Genomic DNA, 23411 nt, shown 5'->3' on the forward strand with positions numbered 1-23411 from the left:
AAGATAACTAGAAGTTGAATGCCCAAGTCTATTTCATCATTAGCATTCAGACAGGAAAAATATCTACCCAGCATATTTTATGTTTCCATTTTCATTTTGGAATGTTTTAAACTTTTTCTTCTAAAAGTAACTAAGAAGTTTTAAGCAAAAGCTATGCAAACACAGGAGGCTTTCCTGTGAAAATGGACCTCAGCTGGAGGCACTCCACCACCAAGCCTCCTCCAGGTGGGTCAGCGAAGGGAGATGAAGGAAACGCAAATTCAAACTGCTGCTGAGGTCGGTGGGCCCTTTGTGTTGCTTTGACTGAGTTGACAGGTGGAGTGTGTATGTTGTGTGAGGTAACTTTAAGGTGTCCATCTAAATGCAAGGCTCATCTAAGCATCTGAAAGACAAAATAATGAATTGGTGGGGAGTTATCTAAGGAGGACAAGCCTGTCTGAGGGCATAACCCCACTTCCAGTGAGCCTTTGGTCAATTTGTATGTGAACAGGATCTTCTGCCTTTCTTATAGGGAAGAATTCTGTGACGAGTTGGCCCCTCCTTGCCCATCTGAGAGCCCATTGTGCACTCCCTCATTTAAAATAGCAGGGTGTGACAGCAACAGATGGCACCCAGAAAGGAGGCGTGGCGAGACCTTCCAGCAGACAGCAAAGGAAGAAGGTCCATGGGCTCAGTGTCCCTCAAAACTAACATCCCCAAAAAGACCGGAGAGCTGGCGAGGTGACAGCCATGCTGCTCTTTCTAATTGCAAACGTTTGCCAGTGAGAAGAAAAGGAATTAGATTAGGTTCAGCCTCATCGCACCCCATGCCATAACTATTTTTCCCATTAAGAAAATAAATGTTTCAGGCTGGGCACGGTGGCTGAAGCCTGTAATCTCAACACTTTGGGAGGTCAAGACGGGCGGATCACGAGGTCAAGAGATTGAGACCATCCTGGCTAACAAGGTGAAACCCTTTCTCTACTAAAAATACAAAAAATTAGCCAGGTGTGGTGGCGGGCACCTGTAGTCCCAGCTACTTGGGAAGCTGAGACAGGAGAATGACATGAACCCGGGAGGCGGAGCTTGCAGGGAGCTGAGATTGAGCCACTGCACTCCAGCCTGGGCAACAGAGCAAGACTCCGTCTCAAAAGAAAAAAAAAAAAAGGAAAATAAATGTTTCAAATCCTTGAGAAAGGTCTTAACCAGGGCTAGCCTTATGCTTGTGTGCTGGGCAGTCATACGCTGGGTTTGAGCCTCATGCTTGTTTGCTGGGCTCCACGCTGGGTTTGAGGTTCTGTCACCGTCTTGGAAACTTTAATATGCTTGAAAAACAGGCCGTGGGTTTTTATTTTGTACTGGGTCCCACACATTGTGTGACCAGTCCTGTCTAAGACATCCACCTTTAGAGATGGCACCCTTTGGACACTGTTTAAAGGTTTTTTTTTTTTCTCAGTCTCCTTGCCTCAAATCAGATCTGCCCCAGCTGTGAGTGGCCACAGCCCCAACACACAGCACTCTGTTCCTGCCTTAATCCTCTCCTCACTCCCCTCAACTAACCAACCCCAGGCCTCTTCCAGTCTCTGCAACACTGCAAATTCAGGGGTTACCAACCAGGGCAGGGGGTTGTAGTTGGCCTCCCGCTGTCCCCTTCAGTGCCCAGGTCATTGGCAGGAATGGGGATGGGACATCTTCAGCTTTTGAAAGCTCCCAAGGCAGCACCTACCTACGTACACCCCAGTTGCAAACCACCTCCCCGTCCACTCTCCAGTCTCGTCTCGGGCTAAATTCCACCCAGGTGACCCCAGTCTGGGACATGGACATTGCTGGTTGGGAGTGGTCTAAAAACCGTGAGGCTGGTCTCATTGACTCGACCTTTACTTTCCTCAGTTCATGTTCCATAATTCCAGCACAGATTTACTACACCGTGGTCTCTCCTGGGCTGTCCCACACCAGCCTCTCCAGCAGGCAACTCCCCACCCCTGCTTGCCTCCTCCTGCTCCTCCATGAGCCGGGGCGGGGGTGGGGGCAGGTGAAGTAGAATCTGGTACAACTGCTTAATTAGAGTGGGTAGCTAGGTATACAAATGTAAAAAAAAATATCATGGAGAAACTTAAGGGGAAAATACCCCACAATAGCAATCTGAGGAGGGCTGAGTGACAATCAAACAAAGGTCCCTTCCGTGTTGCCCCATTCTGCTATGAAGTAGGAACTTTCCTAGCTGCACTTTACAGATGAGAAAACTGCCACGAGTATAAGAAGCTTGCCCCAGGTCAGAGAGTGAGGGTGGAATGGGGACATGGATGCAGGCTGCCTTGGCTCCAGACGCTAACTCCTAAGCACCATGTTAAGTCATGGCACCACCAGAGGGGTGGGGATGAACAACTTTGCCTTTCTGGCACCTTTTCTTTCTTATAGATGCATCCATGAGCCAGTATCTAGAGGCGGCAATGCAGGAAGAGCCAGAAAGCAAAGGCCAGAACCCACTGTTCAGGCTTGCTGCACCCCAAAACTCTTCACAGCAACATTGAGTCCTAGTTGTGCGGCCTGCCAGGGTGTTTGCTGATCACTTGTGAAAACTAGGAACATAGCGGGGGCTTTTCAACATCGTATCAGCCTGTGCCTTCCAACATCATAATTGAGGAGGAATGAAGCATATTTGTTCTATAATAAAACAGGTTAATATAAAATTAGATGGATGGAATATAATTCTCACACCATAAAATCCACCTTCATTGAAGTGTTTGTCTTATGAGTTTCAGAACATCCAGAGTCATGGCCGTGGACACCGCTCTCCTGGATCCCGTCCACCCTGGGGATGTGCTGTCCCAGGCTGCTTTTCTCCTTCTCTCTTTGGCATGTTTCACCTGCCATCTGTCTGTTCTCCCAAAGCCAGCACACACCCAGACCATTCTGCCTGTGACCTCTCCAACTCAGTGGCAGGGCAAAGTGCAGCCTCCAAGGTTGGGCTTCCAAACCTCCGACCACATGACCTCTATCAACTCATCCAGGCTCATCTGCTGCTGCGTTCTCGGACCTGCCCTGAGACCCAGCCCAGAGCAACACTCAGTGTTCCTCAGCTGCGGTGCCTCCTCTCCCACCATCTGCCTGTAATTGGGTCTCATTTTCTGGAATGACTTTCCCAACAGCATTTCTAGGCCAGGGTGGACTTCATGGTCCTTCTTCAACCCTGGGCTTCTGTCCAGATAGCACTAAGTAGATAAGCTCTTTCTAATGTGTCTCCCTTCCATATTAACAAGTATGCCAGCAATACCCTTATTCTCTTATTTAGACTATGCTTTGCTTTAGAATGATGACTTTTGAACAATAGGGAATTCTTACTTTTCCTGTGAGCAGAACTCAACTCAGCAGATCCTTCATTTCTCCTTGAAATGTGTGCTTCTGATTTCCAGGACACCACTCTCCTGGATCCCTTCCACCCTGGGGATGCGCTGTCCCGGCCTGCTTTTCCCCTTTTCCCTTTGGCTCTGACCACAGAGTGTTGCAGGCCTCAGACCTTAGACCTTGACTTTTCTGTCTGTTCATTCTTTGTTGATATCATCTGGTCCCATGGGATTAAATATCATCTCTACATGGATGACTCCCAAAGCGTATTTCTAGACTGAGACTCACCTCTGAACCTCAGCCTCATAGATTCAATGACCCACTTGACATCTCGACTGAGATATCTAATTGGCATCTCAAGCTTCCCCGTCCACAGTGGAATTCTGTGTGTTTCCCATAAGCTCAAAACCCTTAGACCAGCTGCCAAACCAGAAAGGTGTTTGACTGTGAGGAGTGCATCGAGGGACCACAGGATGGAGCCCAGGATGAGGCTTCCAGGTGGAACCCATAAGGACCTCATCTCTTCCCAGCTCGTCACACCCAGCCCTGCACTGCTCCTGTCCTGGGCACAGACTCACATGGAAAGCTGACCGCACTATCTGTTAAGAAGCTCCTGGTCTTCTGTCCTTTTCTTGTTATCTGAATTAGCAAAAAACTCTTTCTTTTTGGGGATAGTGGTTCAAATATGTTCACTACCATTGTTTTAGAGCTAGGCGAATTAATGTTCATGATGATACCCATGAAGTTAAAACCCCTGCATCATGTACTTTTTAGAAAGGCCTTTTTCACTGAATTATCAAAAACAGCCGTAGTTTAACCAATATTTTGCCCTGATTTATATTATCCAGAAAAATAATTCAAAAGGAATTAACATGACCTTCTAGCATTTGTCAGAAGTTGTGCTCTGTGATTTACATATTAGCTTGTTCAATTCTTCAGATATTCTGAAAGGCAGATACTATTAACTCCATCTTGCAGTTGAGAAAATAGATACTCACAGACATTAACTAAATTGCCCAATGTCAAGTAGCTCATAACGGCTAGTAAATGCCTAGGGTTGAATATAAGTTTGTTGATGTTCAGACCATGTATATCTCTATGCAAGGATTACAGATAATATAATCATCATCACTATCATCAGTATAATCATTACCTACATAAAAGACAGGGCAAGGGGGTGATTCTGTAATATACATTTTGTATCAGGTTTGAATATCTGATAAAGTCATTTAGCTTCATAATTACCTTAAGAGCACAAAGATGCAAAAGTCCATCATATGACTTTCAAATTGGCAAAGGTGATAATATTAAAAACCTGTGCAACAGGATTATAATAATAATTTAGCTAGCCACATGGTTACTTACCATTGTGTTAGATTTTGAATACTGTAGTGAATGAATGTCTTATCCAAAAGCAAACATTTTTTAATACTGTTATCTAATTAAATAGTTAAGATTTTTGCTGAAATCAGCAAGACAAATTGAACTTTAGAACTGGAAGAAAGTTTAGAATTTTTTTGCCAATCTTTTTGATTTTATAGAAAAAGTATTTATATAAATTCTTGAGTTGAAAGATTAAAAGCAAAAATTTTAAGCTAATAATATAAATTGCAGTCTAGAAACCCACTTTGTCTATAAAACATTAAAATAGAACCATTTATATAACTTAGCAGGTATAAAAAGGTTTCAACCTTAATATTACAGAGAAGAGCTATAAATACACTATTTCATGTTCCCCCAAACACCTGAAAACTTATGAAAAACTATGTTATTTAGGTTGCTTCTTTTCAAGGTAACAGGGAAGTATTGATTATTTGCCCAGCCAATACAATAAATTTGTGCTCAATATTAGCACATATTAACAATCTTTTTAAAAAATACAGGACAAGGGCAAGTTAATAAGAAGAAACACAAGCAGTAGAGAAGGATATGAAGTGAAACACGGGGGTCTTCCAACGTATCCAGCTGAGCTCCTGGCTCCGATTTCTCAGCAGCAAACAGCCGGTTGAGAACTCAGCCAGGTATTTTCTATGCCTTTACAAATGTATCACTCTGTGTATACACATACATACATAAATATACAGAGATGTGTTTATGTTTATATTAGGCATTTTACATATCTAATTACATATTTAACATAACTATCTTCTCTATACAAATAGAATCACATTATTCCATACATTTGAAATGAGTTCTTCATATACAAAAATGATATCTTTATTAACTTTTCTAGATCTGCTTCATTCTTTTTTTAAAAAAGCACAGGATCCCTATATATAAAAATAAATATTTACTCATTCTTTCTCCTACATTTGAAATTTTGGTGGTTTCCATGATTTTATTATTACAAAGCTGGCTAGCACAATGAGCATCCCTAGCCACATATTCTTGAACACTTATAAAGATAGTCTCATAGGATTTCTTTCTTTCTTTTTTTTTTGTGTGTGGATACAGTCTCACTCTGCTGCGCAGGCTGAAGTGCAGTGGTGTGATCATGGCTCACTGAAGCCTCAACCTCCTGGGTTCAAGTGATCCTCCCACCTCAGCCTCCTGAGTAGCTGGGAACACAGGTGGAGATTTCTTTTTTTTTCAGTTTTTTGCACAGATGGGGCCTCACTGTGTTGGCCAGGCTGGTCTTGAACTCCTGGGCTCCAGCGTGCACCCACTATAGGCAAGGCACTGTGTTCAGAATTCTATGTATATGTATGTATATGCATATATTATCTCTAAACCTTATGCCAACGCAAGCAGGCACACAACATAGCTGCTCCCATGGTGTGTGTAAAACTGCACAGCTAGTGAGGGCTGGAGCTGCCATCTGAACCAGTGTGCATCTGCCTCCCAAGTCTTTGTCCTCTCCACCGAAACAGAAAACCACATTTACAATTTTATTATTTATAAATCCTTCCGGTGAAAAACCATTTGTTTTAAATTCCTTGCATTATTAAGCAGAGAATTTTACTTGAAATCTCCTTTACCTTTATTTTTAACTGTTTACTCGCCTAACATAGATTTGACTTCAAAACAATTCCTCTTTTCCTTCATGTAAATTACATTTCAGATTCTCCAGTGACTTGTCAGTAGAGGGAGCCTTAAGATGCATTTGACAACCCTTTTATACGGTGAACAGTGATCTCTCAACAGGAAAACATCAGCCAGTTGAATTTGTTTTATAATAGAACAACATATTTATAGAAAGGATAAGGAAAAGGCAGGCAGCTGCTGGGTTCAGCCTGTGGGAGAAAACAACCTACAAAGTGCTCGGTGAACTCATCCCTCAGCTGCAGCGTCTGTTTCCTTAGCACTTCCAAGGTACAGTTTCCTTTTGCTGGGATGCAACTTCAAGCTCGAATTTCTGAAAGTAATTCATTAGGATGTATGCTAAGTAATATGTGACGCCTGTTCCCTGTGAGTTTATTGACCAGCTCAATTCAGGATTATGAATCGCCAATGTACTTAGAACACAGAATTCTTGTTCGGTGACTATTATGGGTCTTGCTGAGTTAGGATGGTAGCCCTGGCCAACTCCCTGAGCTCTGCCATCGCCACTGGCAAGCTGCATGCCTGCAAGGTGACATGTGACAGTGTCAGCCCGCTCCCTACCCAGACGCCACGCTGTGGAAAATCCACTTCTAGCAGCAGCATCTGGGCTGTCAGCGGGCTCCACCGGCACCAAAGCTGACAGCACTGATGTTGCCGGGGGCTCTGTCTCAAGCGGGCTGCACACCACGCTGAAAGATTCCACTCCAAGCCATTTTCCCAGTCTTACCTTTGATCCTCAGCTATTTGCATATTTTTATAAGCTTAGGTGGAGAAAAAAGCACCTGTTCAAATACCTCCAAGATCTTTCTGTCTTTACATTTCTATGGTGGAAAATGAGGTGCCCTGAGCCTGGACAGGAGTCAGGTTCCATGGAGCACTACTGTGAGACGGCTGTTCAGGCCACACCACTGGCCCAGGCAGACAGACCACACGACCATCAGGGAACTTACCCAGCCCCCACCCCCAGACTCAGGGCATAGCAAAGGTGCTTCGCAAATACTTCAAAATAGGAATCAACATTATCCAAGTTATTACCCTTTCCAGTCCTTTTCAACTGCAAACACAGCTTTCATTTCCTGCTTTTTATTTCACTGGTTCCCAGACTATTGAGCTGGATTGGGAAAAATATTAACAGCTGAATATTAAAGCATGAGAGAAGTAAGCCCCACTGTAGGATGACAGAAGGGAGATACTAGTTATTCTGCCCTACCCATATTCACCCATTCATTTTCCGTCTGTCTGTCTGTCATTTGCTAATTAACAAAGATTTGTAGGTTGATTGCAGTCTGTCTATTACTAATTAACAAACATTTGTAGGTTGACTGCGTTACTGCCTAAGATTTTCAAGGCTCGTTAGGCAAAAATGGTTTTGTTTATTTTTTTAATTTTTTATTTTTTTGAGATAGGGTCTGGCTTTGTTGCCCAGGCTAGAGTGCAGTGGCACAAACACAGCTCACTGTAACTTCCTGCAACTTCCACCTCCCAGGCTCAAGCAATCCTCCCACCTCAGCCTCCCGAGTAGCTGGCACTACAGGCATGCAACACCATGCCCAGATAATTTTTGTATTTTTTGTAAAGATGGTGTCTTGCCATGTTGCTCAGGCTGGTCTTGAACTCCTGAGCTCGAGCAATCCACCCGCCTCAGCCTCCCAAAGTATAGGCATTTACAGGCGTGGGACACCTTGCCTAGCCAAAAACCAATTTTTTATATATATAAAAAAAGCATGGAACAATGACAACTTAAGGACTCTAACAATTGGATTTCCACGATAACTCCTCCCAGATAACTCCTCTAGTCTTATATTTAGTCTTTGCTCATTTGTTTTGTTCTTTAGATTCTGGTTTGGTTTGATCTTAAAAGTCATCAGAACAAGCAACGGATTATTGTGGTTCTTCTCAGAGAGATGCACAAGTTCTGTCTGAACTCAAAATACCTAAAAATTGATACTGCAAAACCACTTAACAATAAAGGAAAGTTTCATTCCACAATTATGCAAAGGCTTCTTTTGCAAATATCCCTGCGACAGAGAACACAATGAGAAATAGGCAAGAAGATGTAACTTGCTGATTACTGAATTCCTTCATGAAAGAGTGAAGAAAGGATGCATTCAGTGGTGCAGATGGCTGAGTGCATAACAGGTAGGTTTGGTGAAGAGGGGACAGTCAGCATCCACAGGAAGAAAAGGCAGAAAAGGAGAGGTGGGGTTTGATTGCAACAAGCAGCTCTGCCCTCCAGCCGGGAGGCTTGGGTCACCTGCAGTTACTGTGACAAACACAACAAGAACTCAAGTGTGCCAACTTCCTGCATAGGCAGGTTCTCCTGGGGCAGCTGCCAGCTATGGGCTTTACTTTGTAAGTCAGCATTCCATGGTGGAAAAGGCACTGGACTTGAAGTCTGCTCTTCTACCCACTTCATTAATTTCTCTCGGCCCAAGTAGGTGCCTCTGTAGCATGGGTATGACAATTACTTCTCAAGGCTTCTATGAGTTTTTGAACTATGGACAATATGTGAATGTTGGATGTTATTCCTGTGCCCAGAGTGGCACCGTCCCATCCATATGAGGAAGGAAAACTCATTCATTTCTTCACACGACTCCTCGGACAAAGGACTCTTCCTGGGAGCTACGATAGGCTTTAGGGATGGTTGGACACTTATTTAAGTTTAAGGATGATGATATACATTTGAAACAGGAAGGCAGTGTGGAGCAATGATGAAGTGACTACAGACAGGGCAGGCAAGAAGAGGTGGACTTCAGTTCTTTGGCTGCTGACTGCGCTGTGACCTGCCCTCAGGCCCTGCGTCCTCATGGCTCCCTTCTCTCTGATTGTACTGCCTCTGGGTTGATATTTCCACCTAAGTTGTATTTCTTATCACTCTGGACCTTCAGAGGTCTCTGTGAACAGAGGACAGCCATAGAATTTAGCTTGAAAAATCACTGGGCCGATTGGATGTAAAAACGTTCAGGAAGCCCCTGACTCAGGGCCCAGCCTGCATTAAGCACTCCTCAACATCACATAGGCATTCCCTGAAGGTAGCAGGTGCTCAACGTATATTTTCTGAGTGAATGAATGAATAATATACACATTTTTTAAGTCGCACATTTCACATCTTGGAAATCTTGGAGAAGCTATTTTACAGACCTGAGCTTTCCAAGGTCAGATGATCAGCGAGTGACAGGGCCAGGAGGGTCCAAAGAGAAAACAGAGCAAGGGGTGCCAGGACGACAGGATCCAAAAAGGAAGCAGAGCACGGGGCGCCGGGATGTCAGGGCTGAGATGCGGGGGTGTGGCCTGCCACGTCTCATCTCAGTCCTGGAGACCAACGGGCTGCGGGAGCCCTAGGGTTGCGCTGTGATGCTAAAGAGCTGATGTACCCAGTGCCCCTGCGGACCTCGCCTGTGTCTTGGAGGCCGCCTGCTCTGGCTCCTGAGGGGTCTACACATCTCACAGACCCTGGGGTGGGATGGGGCGGCCTCTGGTGTCTCAGGACACTCGTGTGTCCCTGGCACAGAAGGAAGAAGAGGAAGTGGCCATCCAGTGCACATGATACAATGAGAACTGGGAATCATGACTCAGAGTCACCTGTGAGTGTGGTTGTAACAAGAGAGCGGAACCAGCCATATCGGCACCATTGTCAGACAGGAAATGAACCCAAGGTGGGCTGCTGCCTGGGAGGGTCAGCAATCCATTTTAGTAGCTATCATGTTGAACCAAGGCAGCCCCTGTGGGCTGCAAGGGAGTCCAGATTCTCACCCTGTACTGGCCTGCCAAGCTCGTGGCCTTTAACTATGTCCAGCCACAGTCTGAAATACAGGAGAAACAGCCACTGCTCAAGGGTCTATTTTCTTATGGGGAGTTTGTTTTTGTGTTTTTCTTCATAAGGCCATGGCAGGATTGCGGGTATACCTGGCACTGATCTTATAACCAGGCTTGTAGCTCTTAGATAAGTCCATGCTTGTTTTGTATAATAAAATGTGAAATCAATCTACTATGAAAGTCTATTCAGTGCATTTTAAATGGCAACTCACATTTATCAGGTCAAGAAGTGACATTTGTGAAACGCACAGTCTATTTGTCTCTTTAATGTACACTCATTATTCTACTCCTTAAAAATTGGAATTAAGCATGAAATAGGGAATCAGAATAAAATTCATACATGTTGCCCTTTTCTAAATCATTTCAATTTAAAAGAATAGTGTTAGATGAGCTTATAATTTCACACTTGTCTTGGCTTTCCTGCTCTGAAGATCATAAAAAAGAAAGGCCCTGATTATAGTCTGCAGAATAAAGACAGTGAAGACAGACGCACACATTTGTAGGGTGCGGAATTCAGAAGTTTCTGCGATTGTACAAAAGTGCTTCAAACAATGCATTTAAATCAAGGATAGATCTTGCAAAGTTTGAGAGATTATCTTTGGATACATAATATATACCTTTGCTGTTTATTAATGCTTGAGCCAAGAAGGTTACAGACAAAGACAAAGCAGTGTGGCGTGGAACCCCTGCAGCTCAAGTTGGCAACGCTGCTTTGCCTTGCCTACAAAGTCAACAGTGCCTCCCAGAGGGCCTACTTCACCTAAAACTGTAGTCCTTCCCCATGGCAATCTTTAAGAGGCAGTGCATTAAAAGGGTTATAGAATATCCTGACTTGAATTACTGAGTAATTCTCTGGTTCAAATCTCAGCATGAGAATATGAAGTTCTACTCACTGAGCTTGGTAAGTTGGGAGCTTGGAGAACTCAAGCAAAATAACATAGGCTATTATTTAAACAGGCTCTGATTGCACTGTGTTCATATGTTGAAATAGATGAGTGCTCAGGCCTCACTGCACTCCCCCGATGCTCACGCCTCTGGTCATCTTTCCAAACCCAGCCTCCAGCTCCCCTTGGCCTGCGGTCCTTTCCCTCTCTGCTGGCTCCTCACCCTGGACCTCCCCTTTTTCACTTTCCCTTTCTTTCTGCCTCTTCCATTGTCTCTTGTCTGCCTGCCAATGCATTTGTCATAACCCACCAATTTCTCTTCTCTTCCAAGCTAGATTTGTTGTGGCAACCACAGGTTCTTCTTAGAGGGGTGTCTGTTAGCTGGTTAGCATCTCCCTCACATCCTCCCTTAGAGGGGTGTGTGTTAGCTGGTTAGCTGGTTGGTGTCTTCCTCAGAGCTTCCCCTTAGAGGCGTGTGTATAGAGGGCTGTGTGTAGCTGGTTAGCTGGTTAGCGTCTTCCTCAGAGCTTCCCCTTAGAGGGGTGTGTGTAGAGGTGTGTGTGTAGCTGGTTAGCTGGTTAGCGTGTTCCTCAGAGCTTCCCCTTAGAGGGGTGTGTGTAGAGGGGTGTGTGTAGCTGGTTAGCTGGTTGGCATCTTCCTCACAGCTTCCCCTTAGAGGGGTATGTGTTAGCTGGTTAGTGTCACCCTCACAGCATCCCTTAGTGGGGTCCCTGTTAGCTGGCTGGTGTCTCCCTTGCTCCTGGGTCTCTTACCTCCAGCCCTGTGTTTATTGGCACTAACTCTGGACCTGTGTTTCCCACAGAGGTTGTATTTCTTGGTTCCTCTGGCCCTCACATTGCATGAGTTTGATTTCTCACCCTTCTGCCATATTCCATTTGGCAAGAGTGAACACGCAGCCCCTCCTCAGTTCCACACACTGTACACTGAAATACATCACTGCCTTGGTCATGTACTAACTCCGGCTGACTGGCTGATTTCCATGGTGAAATTGTGAATTCATAGTGTTTTACTTCTATATTTTTATAAGGTACGCCCCTCCCTCATGTACTCTTCATTTCTAATTAAAATATTTCTCTAGCATCAAGAAAATGTGGTTGTGAATGGCTTTTACTACTAGTAGGCTGAGGAGCAGCTAATATATTTTTATTGAAAATCCAATAGTTTCATTTGCATTGCATCTGAATTTTTGAGACACATAGATAATAGCGTATCATTACCCTTCATATTCCCAAAGGAGCCCAAGAATGAACAGATTACGAAACAACCCAGTACATCACAACCCAACCCATTACATCCCAACCCAACCCAGTATGTCACAACCCAACCCAGTACATCCCAACCCAACCCAGTACATCCCAACCCAACCCAGTACATCCCATCCTAACCCAGCACATCCCAACCCAACCCAGCACATCCCAACCCAACCCAGCACATCCCAACCCAGCCCAGCACATCCCAACCCAACCCAGTACATCCCAACCCAACCCAGTACATCCCAACCCAGCCCAGCATATCCCAACCCAGCCCAGTACATCCCAACCCAACCCAGTACATGCCAACCCAACCCAGTACATCCCAACCCACCCCAGTACATCCCAACCCACCCCAGTACATCCCAACCTAACCCAGTACATCCCAACCCAGCCCAGTACAACCCAACCCAGACCAGTACATCCCAACCCAACCCAGTACATCCCAACCCAACCCAGCACATCCGAACCCAACCCAGCACATCCCAACCCAACCCAGCACATCCCAACCCAGCCCAGCACATCCCAACCCAACCCAGTATGTCACAACCCAGCCCAGCACATCCCAACCCAACCCAGCACATCCCAACCCAGCCCAGCACATCCCAACCCAACCCAGCACATCCCAACCCAACCCAGCACATCCCAACCCAACCCAGTACATCACACGGCACATTCCAATATTCCTTCAGCCTGCCTCAAAAACTGGTGAAGACTCATTGGTTGTCCTTTCTTCTTCTTCTTCTTCTTCTTCTTCTTCTTCTTCTTCTTCTTCTTCTTCTTCTTCTTTTTTTTTTTTTTTTTTGATGGAGTTTCGCTCTTGTTGCCCAGGCTGGAATGCAATGGCGTGATCTCGGCTCACTGTAACCTCTGCCTTCCAGGTTCAAGTAATTCTCGTGCCGCAGTCTCCCAAGTAGCTGGGATTACAGGCATGTGCCACCACACCCAGCTAATTTATGTACTATTAGTAGAGATGGGGTTTCTCCATGTTGGTCAGGTTGGTCTCGAACTCCCGACCTCAGGTGATCCATTCATCTCAGCCTCCCAAAGTGCTGGGATTATAAGTGTGAGCCACCACGCCCAACCTGGTTGTCCTTTCTTTAAATCAGGAAGATGTTTTTGAAGGACATGCTCATACTTTCCCATCTCACTCTTTCCTTTCTGGATCCCTCTTTGTTCCTCCTCCTCCCTTCCTAGCTCCCTTCCCTTCCCACCTCATTCCGTCTGAAGATTTCAACTACCCACAACTAACTGATAACCAGCACTTTTCACACAACCACAGCAACCTGTGAGGAGCATGAATGTGAAACATCTTTACCTTGCACAAGCCAAGTTGAAACCAGGGCAGGAGAAAAGGCCCGTTCCTTCACAGGGAGCACTAATGTCTCCTCGCATCACTGTGCTGGTGGTTTGGATAGAGAATGGCAGTATGAGGGATGTGATTTTGTATCCTGAAGTGCCAGACATCATTCTCTTTCCTAACAAAAAGCAGTTTTTGTAAGTGTTTTAAGTTGCTTAAAATGCATAATTGAATAGACTTTCCTCTCATGGCCTCTTTATCCAAAATCCCACAGAACCTCAGTGAGAGGAAGCCTCCCTTCAGAATGCCAGGGATGCCTCGCCTGGAGCACTCAGTGGGTGCCAGGCCCCTTTACATAAACCACTTAAGTCCCTAAGCCCCTGGATTGGGAATGTCCTGCCTCCAAAGAGGGGGCCAGGCAGCTTAAGTCATTGCTCAGGGTCACGTGGGCTGCATGTCTGTGACTGACAGAGATGGCATCTGCACCTGGGTTCTGCCTCATTGGGCAGCTGGGGTCTCCTGTGAAAGCCACAGACAGAGGCAACCTGGGACAGCGGTCACCTGCAACTCCCCTCGCCACACCTTGGTACTTGCATAAGGTAAAGTCAGGTTGTTTAAAGAGCGGGGCACACGTGCAAACACCACAGGCTTTCACTTTCCACATTGAAGATCCTTCTGACAGAAAGGCGCGTTATGATTCCTCCATAATGGAAAGACAAGATCATGACACGTTCAAAGAAGATAAAGTGTTTTAAGGTTTCTTAGTTGAATATTTTTCAGGATATTGAATGCTTAGATTTTTCTCAGAACCAGAGAACATGGGGTCAGGGGGTGGTGGGGCATCTGAATTGCTGTATTAACTTATTGTAAGGAAGGTAAATCAAGGTCATTATCTGCTGTTAGGAAGTCAGTCCTTACTGGGAAACCCATGAGCTGTGTGTCTCTGCGCAAGGTACCCTGCTGTCCGGGCCTCAACTCTTTAATCTAGAAAATGAAGATTTGGGACTAGATCAATAATGTTCCCACTGGATTCCCAGAGAGTGGTTCATTTCTGTGGCCACAAAGGAAGGGTGGGGTCACTGGGTGCAGTTTCAGATGTATCTGTAGTGCAAATAAGGCTTCAGTAAATATGCAGTTGGAGAAACACTTCCTCCTTTGACAAAGTGTATGGAGATTGTCGTTCGTCACTTGTTTGAGATCCATTGTGCTGGGTGACACCCGAGGAGAGTTGTTCTTCATTGTTTGGGGAACAGGGAACGCTAAGGGATCGGCACCCACCAGCAGAATCACAGCTGAGAGGTGAAACCTGTGTGCAGTGTATATCTGAGAGATCCTGCGTTACAATCTCCGTGTAGGAGCTCTGCTACTAAAGCACTCTTAGAGATCAACTTGTGATAAAAACGCTTTGTGCAATGCAACGATTGTAAGTGTAGTAAATACATCTCTACATGTTCCACGATAAGCAGGAAGTAAGCCCTCTTTGACTAAAAGCTGCCCTTTTCCTTAGCAGCCCCCATAGCTGTACACGTCCCAGTCTCTGGGTAGCTGATCTGTTTATCTTGGTCTCTTGTGATGTGGAATAGTAGCAGGTGCCAGGGTGGGTGGGGCATTGCCAAGAGCCTGCACAAAGAGTGAGAACTGGTTAAGTGTCAGCTCTCCACATGCCAGCTCCTGGGGGACCCTGACCCAGCCTACTGGCCACACTGAGCCTGGCTCCTGATCTCTAAAAATGAAGATAACGATAATTCTCACTTAGTCTCTTACTTGATAATGCATATACAAAAGCAATGGCAATTCGAAACTAGCACATGAATGGACACTACCATTTCCAGTTTAGAGCCACCCCCAGCTCCTCACTGTGGCTTTTGCAGCCACCATAACATAACATAGAATGCCCACTGGAAACATGTCAAATGTATGCATATGTGCACATGCACAGACAGACGGGGGCAAAGGAAGGAAAAAGTGACTCTCAATGAGACCTAAAATTAGTCCATGATAAGTTGCCTCATGAACGTTTTTACAGACTGATAATGCTTCCTTCACATTCTTCACTATTGTCACAGTGCACATGGGTGGCAGGTAACACACTTTCAATTTCACATGCAGGAAAATTAGTGAAACAAATTCAAGGAAAGTTAAAGTATTAGAGACATATAAGCAGTTACTGGTTACTTATAGGTGAGCTATGAGTTTGTTTGAAAGGAATAGCTTCAAACTCTGAAGTCGGGATGGGCAACGTCCTTCGGGGTTTACATGGGGGATAGGCTCTGTGATGCCATGCCGTCAACCTAAGACTGGCTTGATTATATCCATTTCCAAAACCTGCTCTCATCACTGCTGATAGATTCCAAAAATATTTTCCTCTTTCTCCCCAGTGGGCTGGTTTGGCTCTCCAAACTATAGCAAACCAATAAAAATAAACAACAGGCAACATCAACAGAAAAGGCAGGTGGGTAATCTGCTAATTTGATATTTCATGAATGGAACTGAGAGGTGAAGTCTCCCAGACAGAGCAGAGAGCTGCTGTGGGGAGCTCTTGAGTCTTCTCTCTGCCCCCGGGTCCCCTTGCACTCATCTCTTTTTTCTCTGAGTTTGTGTTCCTTTTGTGCCATTCTTTCATCCATTCTTTTTCCTCCTTTGTCTCTATTTCTCCTTGTCTCTTACTCTTTTATCAAATAAAAGGTAGGCCAGGCACAGCGACTCATGCCTGTAATCCCAGCACTTTTGGAGGCCGAGGTGGGCAGATCACCTGAGGTCAGGAGTTTGAGACCAGCCTGGCCAACATGGTGAAACCCCATCTCTACTAAAAACATAAAAAATCAGCCAGGCACGTGGCACAGACCTCTAATCCCAGCTACTTGAGAGGCAGAGGAGAATCACTTGAACCAGGAGGCGGAGGTTGCAGGGAGCTGAGATCATAGCATTGTGCTCCAGCCTGGGCAAAAAGAGCGAAACTCCGTCTCTAAATAAATAAATAAATAAATGGTAAATTTACTATGTGACATATTTCCCAAGTAAAATATTTTATCCTTTACTTTAAAAAGTATGGTAACACAGACTCATTTTTAAAAAAAAAGAAATGTAAATGATCAAGAAAATATGGGATCAATGGATAACAACATGGCAATAGTGGTCATTTTTAGATGGAGGGAATTTGGATCATTATCTACTCTTTGTTTATTGCTACTTTGAAATAGTACATAATTACATCTATTTTTATAGTAACACAAATTAAAATATACGTTCTAATCCTTTGTCTAAGTCTCCCTAAAGCAAACGAGAAAACGATAATGCAGCTCTTACTTCCATATGGACTGGAATTATATTATTTGAACGTGACAATTAGTGTCGCTGACATAGCGGTGTCCACATTTTCCAAATATATCATAGCTTTCTTCACACAGAGGCAGCCCTGAGGTAAAACACGGTGTCACTCTCCCCGCCAGCCCCGCGTGCCAGCGGCCTTAGTTAGAGGCTAAGGAGCATATTTCTATTCCTACCACTGTCATGGAGTTGGAAAAAGGGTTCCAATTTTAACAACTTAGATATATGTAGGTCAAAAGTCATGTTGTTCAGAACCACAATCAGAATAATGCCCTGATTTCCCTTTCACAGATGTGTCCCTGCGATTTGGGGTTTAGCTTATGAGTGAATGGTAGCTGCCACTTCACGTATTGGAGAGAGACAGAGGGAAAAATAAAGACAAAAAAGTATCATGCTGCAATATGTTAGCCCCTTTTATTTATTCTTGATATTGGATGCTGTAATGGTACCAAGAATTTTTTTTTGAATTTCTGAATTTTGTGTGTTAGTGAACGTGTTAATAAAGTAACAAGCTCATAGGTGCTATAACCGCACGCTTCCTGCCATATCCAATGCACTAAAAATGTGTGCTCTTAAAAGGGAGTTTTAAATGTATATTGGTTTCTTGTAAAATACATCTTTTGTGTGTGTGTGTGTGTGTGATACATCCACCACAAAACAGAAATAATCAGAAAAGAGGGAAGAACAGGAACACAATGGGGAAGCCCCATGAAGTGAATTTGCCTTTCTCGTTTCTATGACCCCAGCATGGCAAACGCTCCTCTCTCCTCAGTTCTCCGGCACTGCTCTGAGCTGCCTGTCCACACACTGCTTTATGAGGCCAGGAACTCATTGCGGCCCTGCAGAAAACTCAGCTGGGAGGCCACATGTTGCACTCCAGCCACGTTGCTTTTATTTATAGGAACACATAAGACTCATAAGGTAGCAGATACAGGAATCCAAATGCGTTTCTTTCTTATATTTTTGTTTGTTTTTTGTTTTTGGATTTTGGTGGGAGCTGCAAGCAAGATATATGTATAGGAGCATAATTCACAGTAGCTGAAAGGTGGAGGCAGCACACGTGTCCACTGACAGATGTACAGTGGACTATTATTCAGCCTTAGAAAGGAAGGATGTTCTGACCCATTCTACGACATGGCTGGATGTTGAGGGCATTACGCTAAGTGAAAGAGAGCAGTCACAAAAGAACAGATACCGTACAATGCCACTCACATGAGGTAAGACTAGTGGTCATATTCACAGAGACAGAAAGCAGAATGCTGGGACCCAGAGATGGGTGTGTCTAGACACACACACACACATATATATAGTACTATATCCCACCTTGCATTTAGTGAAGTGCTCAATATACATTGATAGGTTGATTGAAGGAAAAAAGAGGAAAAGGAAGAGAAAAGGAGAAGGAGGAGGAAGGCAGGCAGGAAGGAGGAAAAACAGAGAGGAAAAGGAAAAGGAAAAAATGTCAGAAGTACGAGCTTTCTTCACTTAAGTAACTGGAAGATCAGAGTTCATTATTAGGAAGCTTAAAAGGTAAAACATTCCTAAAAATGAGTCCATGAGTACAGAGACCAGATCCATCTTTTTCCCTCTGCCAATCTCTGCAAAGGAGCGCAGGCCCAGTAAATATCTCCCAAATGGAAAAATGAGGAAAACAAACATGTGACTTGATCCAATATTATTAACAGAGTGATGGTTAACAACACGTAAAGCGCATTCCAGGGGCTTAGTATAAACTATAAATTTTCACCACATATTACGAAAAGAACTTGCTGCTTTAGCTAGAAGAAAATGTCCTGCCCTGAGTCTTTTCTCCTTCATCTTTTACTCAGAATTTGGTCTCATGAAGACAGTGCCTGGCACATAAGAGACGCTCTATCAACAAACATTGCAAAAATAAATTAGTCTTCCATTCATCCATAAGCTTCCATTTATCAAGCACTGGTCACTTGGAATACTGTGGGCATTTCAGAAAGAAGCAGGCAGGGTCCCCAATCCCATGAGACTGTGTATGCCTCATAAGATGTGATAGCTGTCACCCAGGAGGAAAGCCCATTTCAAGGAGCATTATCAGGGCCACAGATAGTTTTTGGTCTAGTGAGTGGGCATACACCTAAATCACAATATGAAGTCGAATATGGCTAAGGAGAATTTATGGCAGAAAATCCTGAGGAAATGAAGTACATTCCTCTGCACAAGATGTGCCCAAGTTTTAGCAACAAACAAGATGGAAACAAGACAGACCAGCTCTCTAGGAAGGATGCAGGGTTCAGGAAGGTGCCTGTGGAATAGGTTTTAGCAATGAAGAGGACAGAAACAAGAGAGACCAGCTCTCTAGGAAGGGTGCAGGGTTCAGGAAGGTGCCCATGGAATAGGAGGATGGATGGCTATCTGTTGACCAAGGGGCAATGTCAATGGGAGCAGGGGAGAATGAAGGAAGGGCCCCAGGTGGAGAGAAGTACCAAGGGAGAGGCTGCCCTGAAGTTGGAAAACCAAAGGAGAAATCAGAAGTGTTGAAGTTGAGGAATTGAAATTGTCTTAAGTAAAAATACACTTTATTACAGTTTCCTCAACAACAAGTTAAAATCAAGGTTTGGACAGGCATGTCCTATTTTAAAAGCCCTAAGAAAGTTTACCATTCAAAGATATTCTTGGTGAATTCTTTTGCAAAGAGAACAAAATGATTTATGTAAAATAAATAACCTTCTATACAAACTTATCTCTCAAGGTTTATTTACATCGGACTATACCTTTACTTGGCATCTCCCTTAATTGGGACAGTGGGATTTAAGGTTCCCCAACAAAACAGGGGCACAAACTAATTGACTTCATAATTTTTTAAGCTAGTTGTGAAGAAGTATCATGCCAAATCACAAACTTCCATGGTACCTAGTTGTGTATAATGTAGAATAGAGTAGACTTTTGACCTTGCATGTGGCAGGCCTTAATAAACACCAGGGGCCCTGCAGAAAAGTAGCTGGGAAGCCACATGTTGCACTCAATCCACACTGCTTTTATTTATAGAAACACATAAGACTCATATGGTAGCACACGCAGGAATCCAAATGAGTGTCTGTCTCATATTTTTGTCTTTTGTTTTTGGATTCTGGTGGGAGCTGCGAGCAAAGTAGTGGAGTCACTTTTGGCATCTGATTGTTAGATGACACATTTCAGTATATGAAGCAACAAGGAGGCTCGAAGTTAGCTTCCAGTGGAAAGAGGCTCACATCACTGAAAAATGTTCACCCTAATTGGCAACCTTGTTAGCAGCCATTCCAGCAGAAAGACCACATGCAGGATTGGCAGCGCACACTGACAGGAAAGTTTTTGAATGACTAAATTCCAGACACATCCAAAAGGCAATTAAATACAGATTCCATAATAAAATACTCACACAATCCTGGAGACCATCATTCCAAATATGTTTCTATTTCGATCATGCATGTTCACTCCCATAGGAAAATACTCAAACTTATCAAAAGATTTTTACATATCAAACTACACACACCTGCTTTTATGAAAAGTCACAATCTGGGAAAATGCTGACCGGTCTTTGTTGCTCCCAGGTCTTTGTTGCTCCCTATTCTTTGTTGGAAAAGGGTAGTTTTCCCAAAGACCACTCAATGTGGGTTTTTGTTTGTGTCCATTTGCAAAATTAAACAGTAAACTTTTGCAAGATTCTTGGTTGATGGACTTATGAGAAGGGAAAAATAATAATCTCATAAATAAAAAATGATAAAAGTGTGCCTCCCACAGTGCTTTATGGTATGTAAAATACTTCTGACCAATTATCTTAGTTTAGTCTCACAACATTCTGCACAGTGGACAGGGCACATAATATCCCCATATTCTAAATGAGGAAGTTGAGTCTTGAAGATTGAACATCCCAAGTTTCAGATATCGGTGATGAGGCTTGAAGCCCCTGGGAGAAGAGAAGCTTGCACCAGCTCAGCATAAGCTGAACTATCGGAAATGAGAGGCCTGCTCAAACTGCAGGCTCCAGGAACAGAGCCAGCTCAGAGGGCAGGTGTGGAGAAGAGGGGAAATGGTGGCAGAAACACAGACTGACTTGATAAGATGTGGCCCTTGGCAAGACACGATACCTCCATAGGGTGACTGAATGGGCTGCCCTGCAGCCTGCCTGCTCCAGCCAGCAGTCCAGGTTCTCCCTGCAAACTGACGGCTAGAGATTCTTCTAGCTCTCTAGCCAGCCACATCACCTGGGAGAGCTGAGATGGCTACCATATTATTTTGAGGTCCTTATTAGAATAAAGATATGGAGAAAAGCTATTTTCCCTTTAGAAGCTATGTGCAACATTGTATCCTGTTGTACATTCTAAATGATATGAAGCATACTCAACAGGAATGGACAATTGGTGTCTAGCACCCCACTTGCATGCTCAGATTAACAACACAGCATACTCGTATTACAGTTTGAGAACAGCTCCCCAGTGTACAGATTATGTAAACAAGGCTAACTATTGCACCAAGAGTGATTTGTTAAAATAGGCACAGGGGATGAAAAAATAATCTTGAAAAACAGAGAAAAGATTGGAAGTATGGGTCGGAATTATGGTGGAGGATGATTAACGACCTTCGGCAGGCTCCAACACCTACATCAAAGCATGTGCTGGGCCGACTGAGAGCGGATGGTGCTGAGCCCTGTAGAGTCCTGGAGAAGGAGGTAGACCATCCCGAGCTCTAGCCTACTCCAAGACATGAGCTTGGGAACTCCTTGAGCCTTGTGTTTCTTTCTTCAGGAGAAGAAAAGACTAGATAAGTTAATCAAGCTTTGAGGCTTGGCAACATTTAAACCAGGAATTCAGCAGCTGGTATTATATTTTAATGCTACTTCTACAACTCATTCAAAGTGTAATGACAAAAGAAGAAAGCAAGATAGCAGAGAGGTGACAGTGACAATCACTTAGCAGTTTCCGTGAAATACACTAGCAGCCCCCAGGAATGGAGGCTCAAGGAGTTCCCAAGCTCATGTCTTGGAGTAGGCTAGAGCTGAGGACGGTCTACCTCCTTCTCCAGGACTCTACAGGGCTCAGCACCATCCACTCTCAGTCAGCCCAGCGCATGCTTTCACATAGGCAGTGGAGCCTGCTGAAGGCTGTTAATCATCCTCCTCCATAATTCTGATCCATTCTTCCAATCTTTTCTCATTTTTCAAGTCAGAGAGGGATTTGGAGATGCTAGGCTGCTGGCTGTGAACATGGAGGCTGGGGCTAGGAGCTGAAGCACACGGGTGGCCTCTAGAAGCTGTAAGGCAAGGACAGGGATTCTCCCCTGGAGCCTCCCAAGGAAATGCAGCCCTGCCAGCTTTGATTTTAGCACAGTGAGACCCATTTTAAACTTCTGCCTAGAGAACTGTAAGATAACAAATTTGCATTCTTTCAACCACTGTGTTTGTGGGAATTTGTTGCAACTGCCAATAGGAAACTAATACAGGCTCGCTGACTGCCCTAGTTCAGCCTCCTCCACCTGAGGCACCTGGTATGTTTTCCTGCAACTGGAGTACTACTGAAAGAGAGCTAGCAGAGAGGTGACAATGACAATCATTTAGTAGGTTCTGTGAAATACACTAGCAGCCCCCAGGAGTGGAGAGCTTCGCCTGCCACAAAAGAGTCAGGTTATTTCTGAGTCTTCAATGCTTTTCACCTGAAGAAGTTCCTCATCTTGCATATTTATGCTTCAGACTTTTTCCTGCTACCTTTTTAATAGGTACCTGGGGCTAGGATGGGGAGACAGTGTGGCTGAAATGAGCTGTGTGTGCCGCAATGGAACACCATGAGACGGGTACTGAATAGACCTTTTATAAACCCCAAAAGGGAAGAAAGAAAGCTCATCAGCATGAGACAGGGGTCCCTGTACCTGTGAGGGGGCCTTTTCTTGTCCTGCCTTCAGACAGCTCTGGTGTTAACTAAATCGAAGCAACAGAGGCTTATTGAGTGCCTACTGTGTATGAGTGATTGTGCTGTTATTTTTATATACAAGGTAATTCACAATGCCTAAGTGAAAATCATCCAGAAGAAGGCATGTGATTCTGTGTAAGATAAGGCTACAGGGACTTCAAAAAATTGTAAACCTTGATTTACATCTGAAGATGAGTGCTAATTAATTTTATTGATCACTTATTGGGAGCCTAAGTATCTTAGCTTTTGCCAATTAAATTACACCTCAAGTTTATGAACATGTTCAATGCTTTTTAAGAACATGGGGTGAGAAGCCTAACATGTAGCCCACAGAGCATGGAGGCTGAGTGTCGAACTCACTGGTGAGCACTGTTGTGACTTGGACAATTCCGTAGACTTCATAATGAGAATGTAATTGGGTGGTATGACCTTTGGAAAAAATCAGTCTGTCAGGAGTAAGTTCCTACTTATTAATAATAGCAATGAATGGAAATGGATTAAACTCTCCAATCAAAAGATAGAGAGTGGCTGA

The 23411-nt window shown here is 44.2% G+C and overlaps 1 protein-coding gene across 31 annotated transcripts in view; it reads right to left on the reverse strand.

The window, feature by feature from the left end:
• Positions 1-23411, reverse strand: part of MYT1L (myelin transcription factor 1 like) — a 542163-nt gene that overhangs the window by 434578 nt on the left and 84174 nt on the right. The gene's annotated exons all lie outside the window — the stretch shown is intronic.

The sequence above is a fragment of the Homo sapiens genome, chromosome 2, assembly GCF_000001405.40.
Source record: "Homo sapiens chromosome 2, GRCh38.p14 Primary Assembly".
In the NCBI taxonomy this organism is placed as follows: Eukaryota; Metazoa; Chordata; class Mammalia; order Primates; family Hominidae; genus Homo; species Homo sapiens.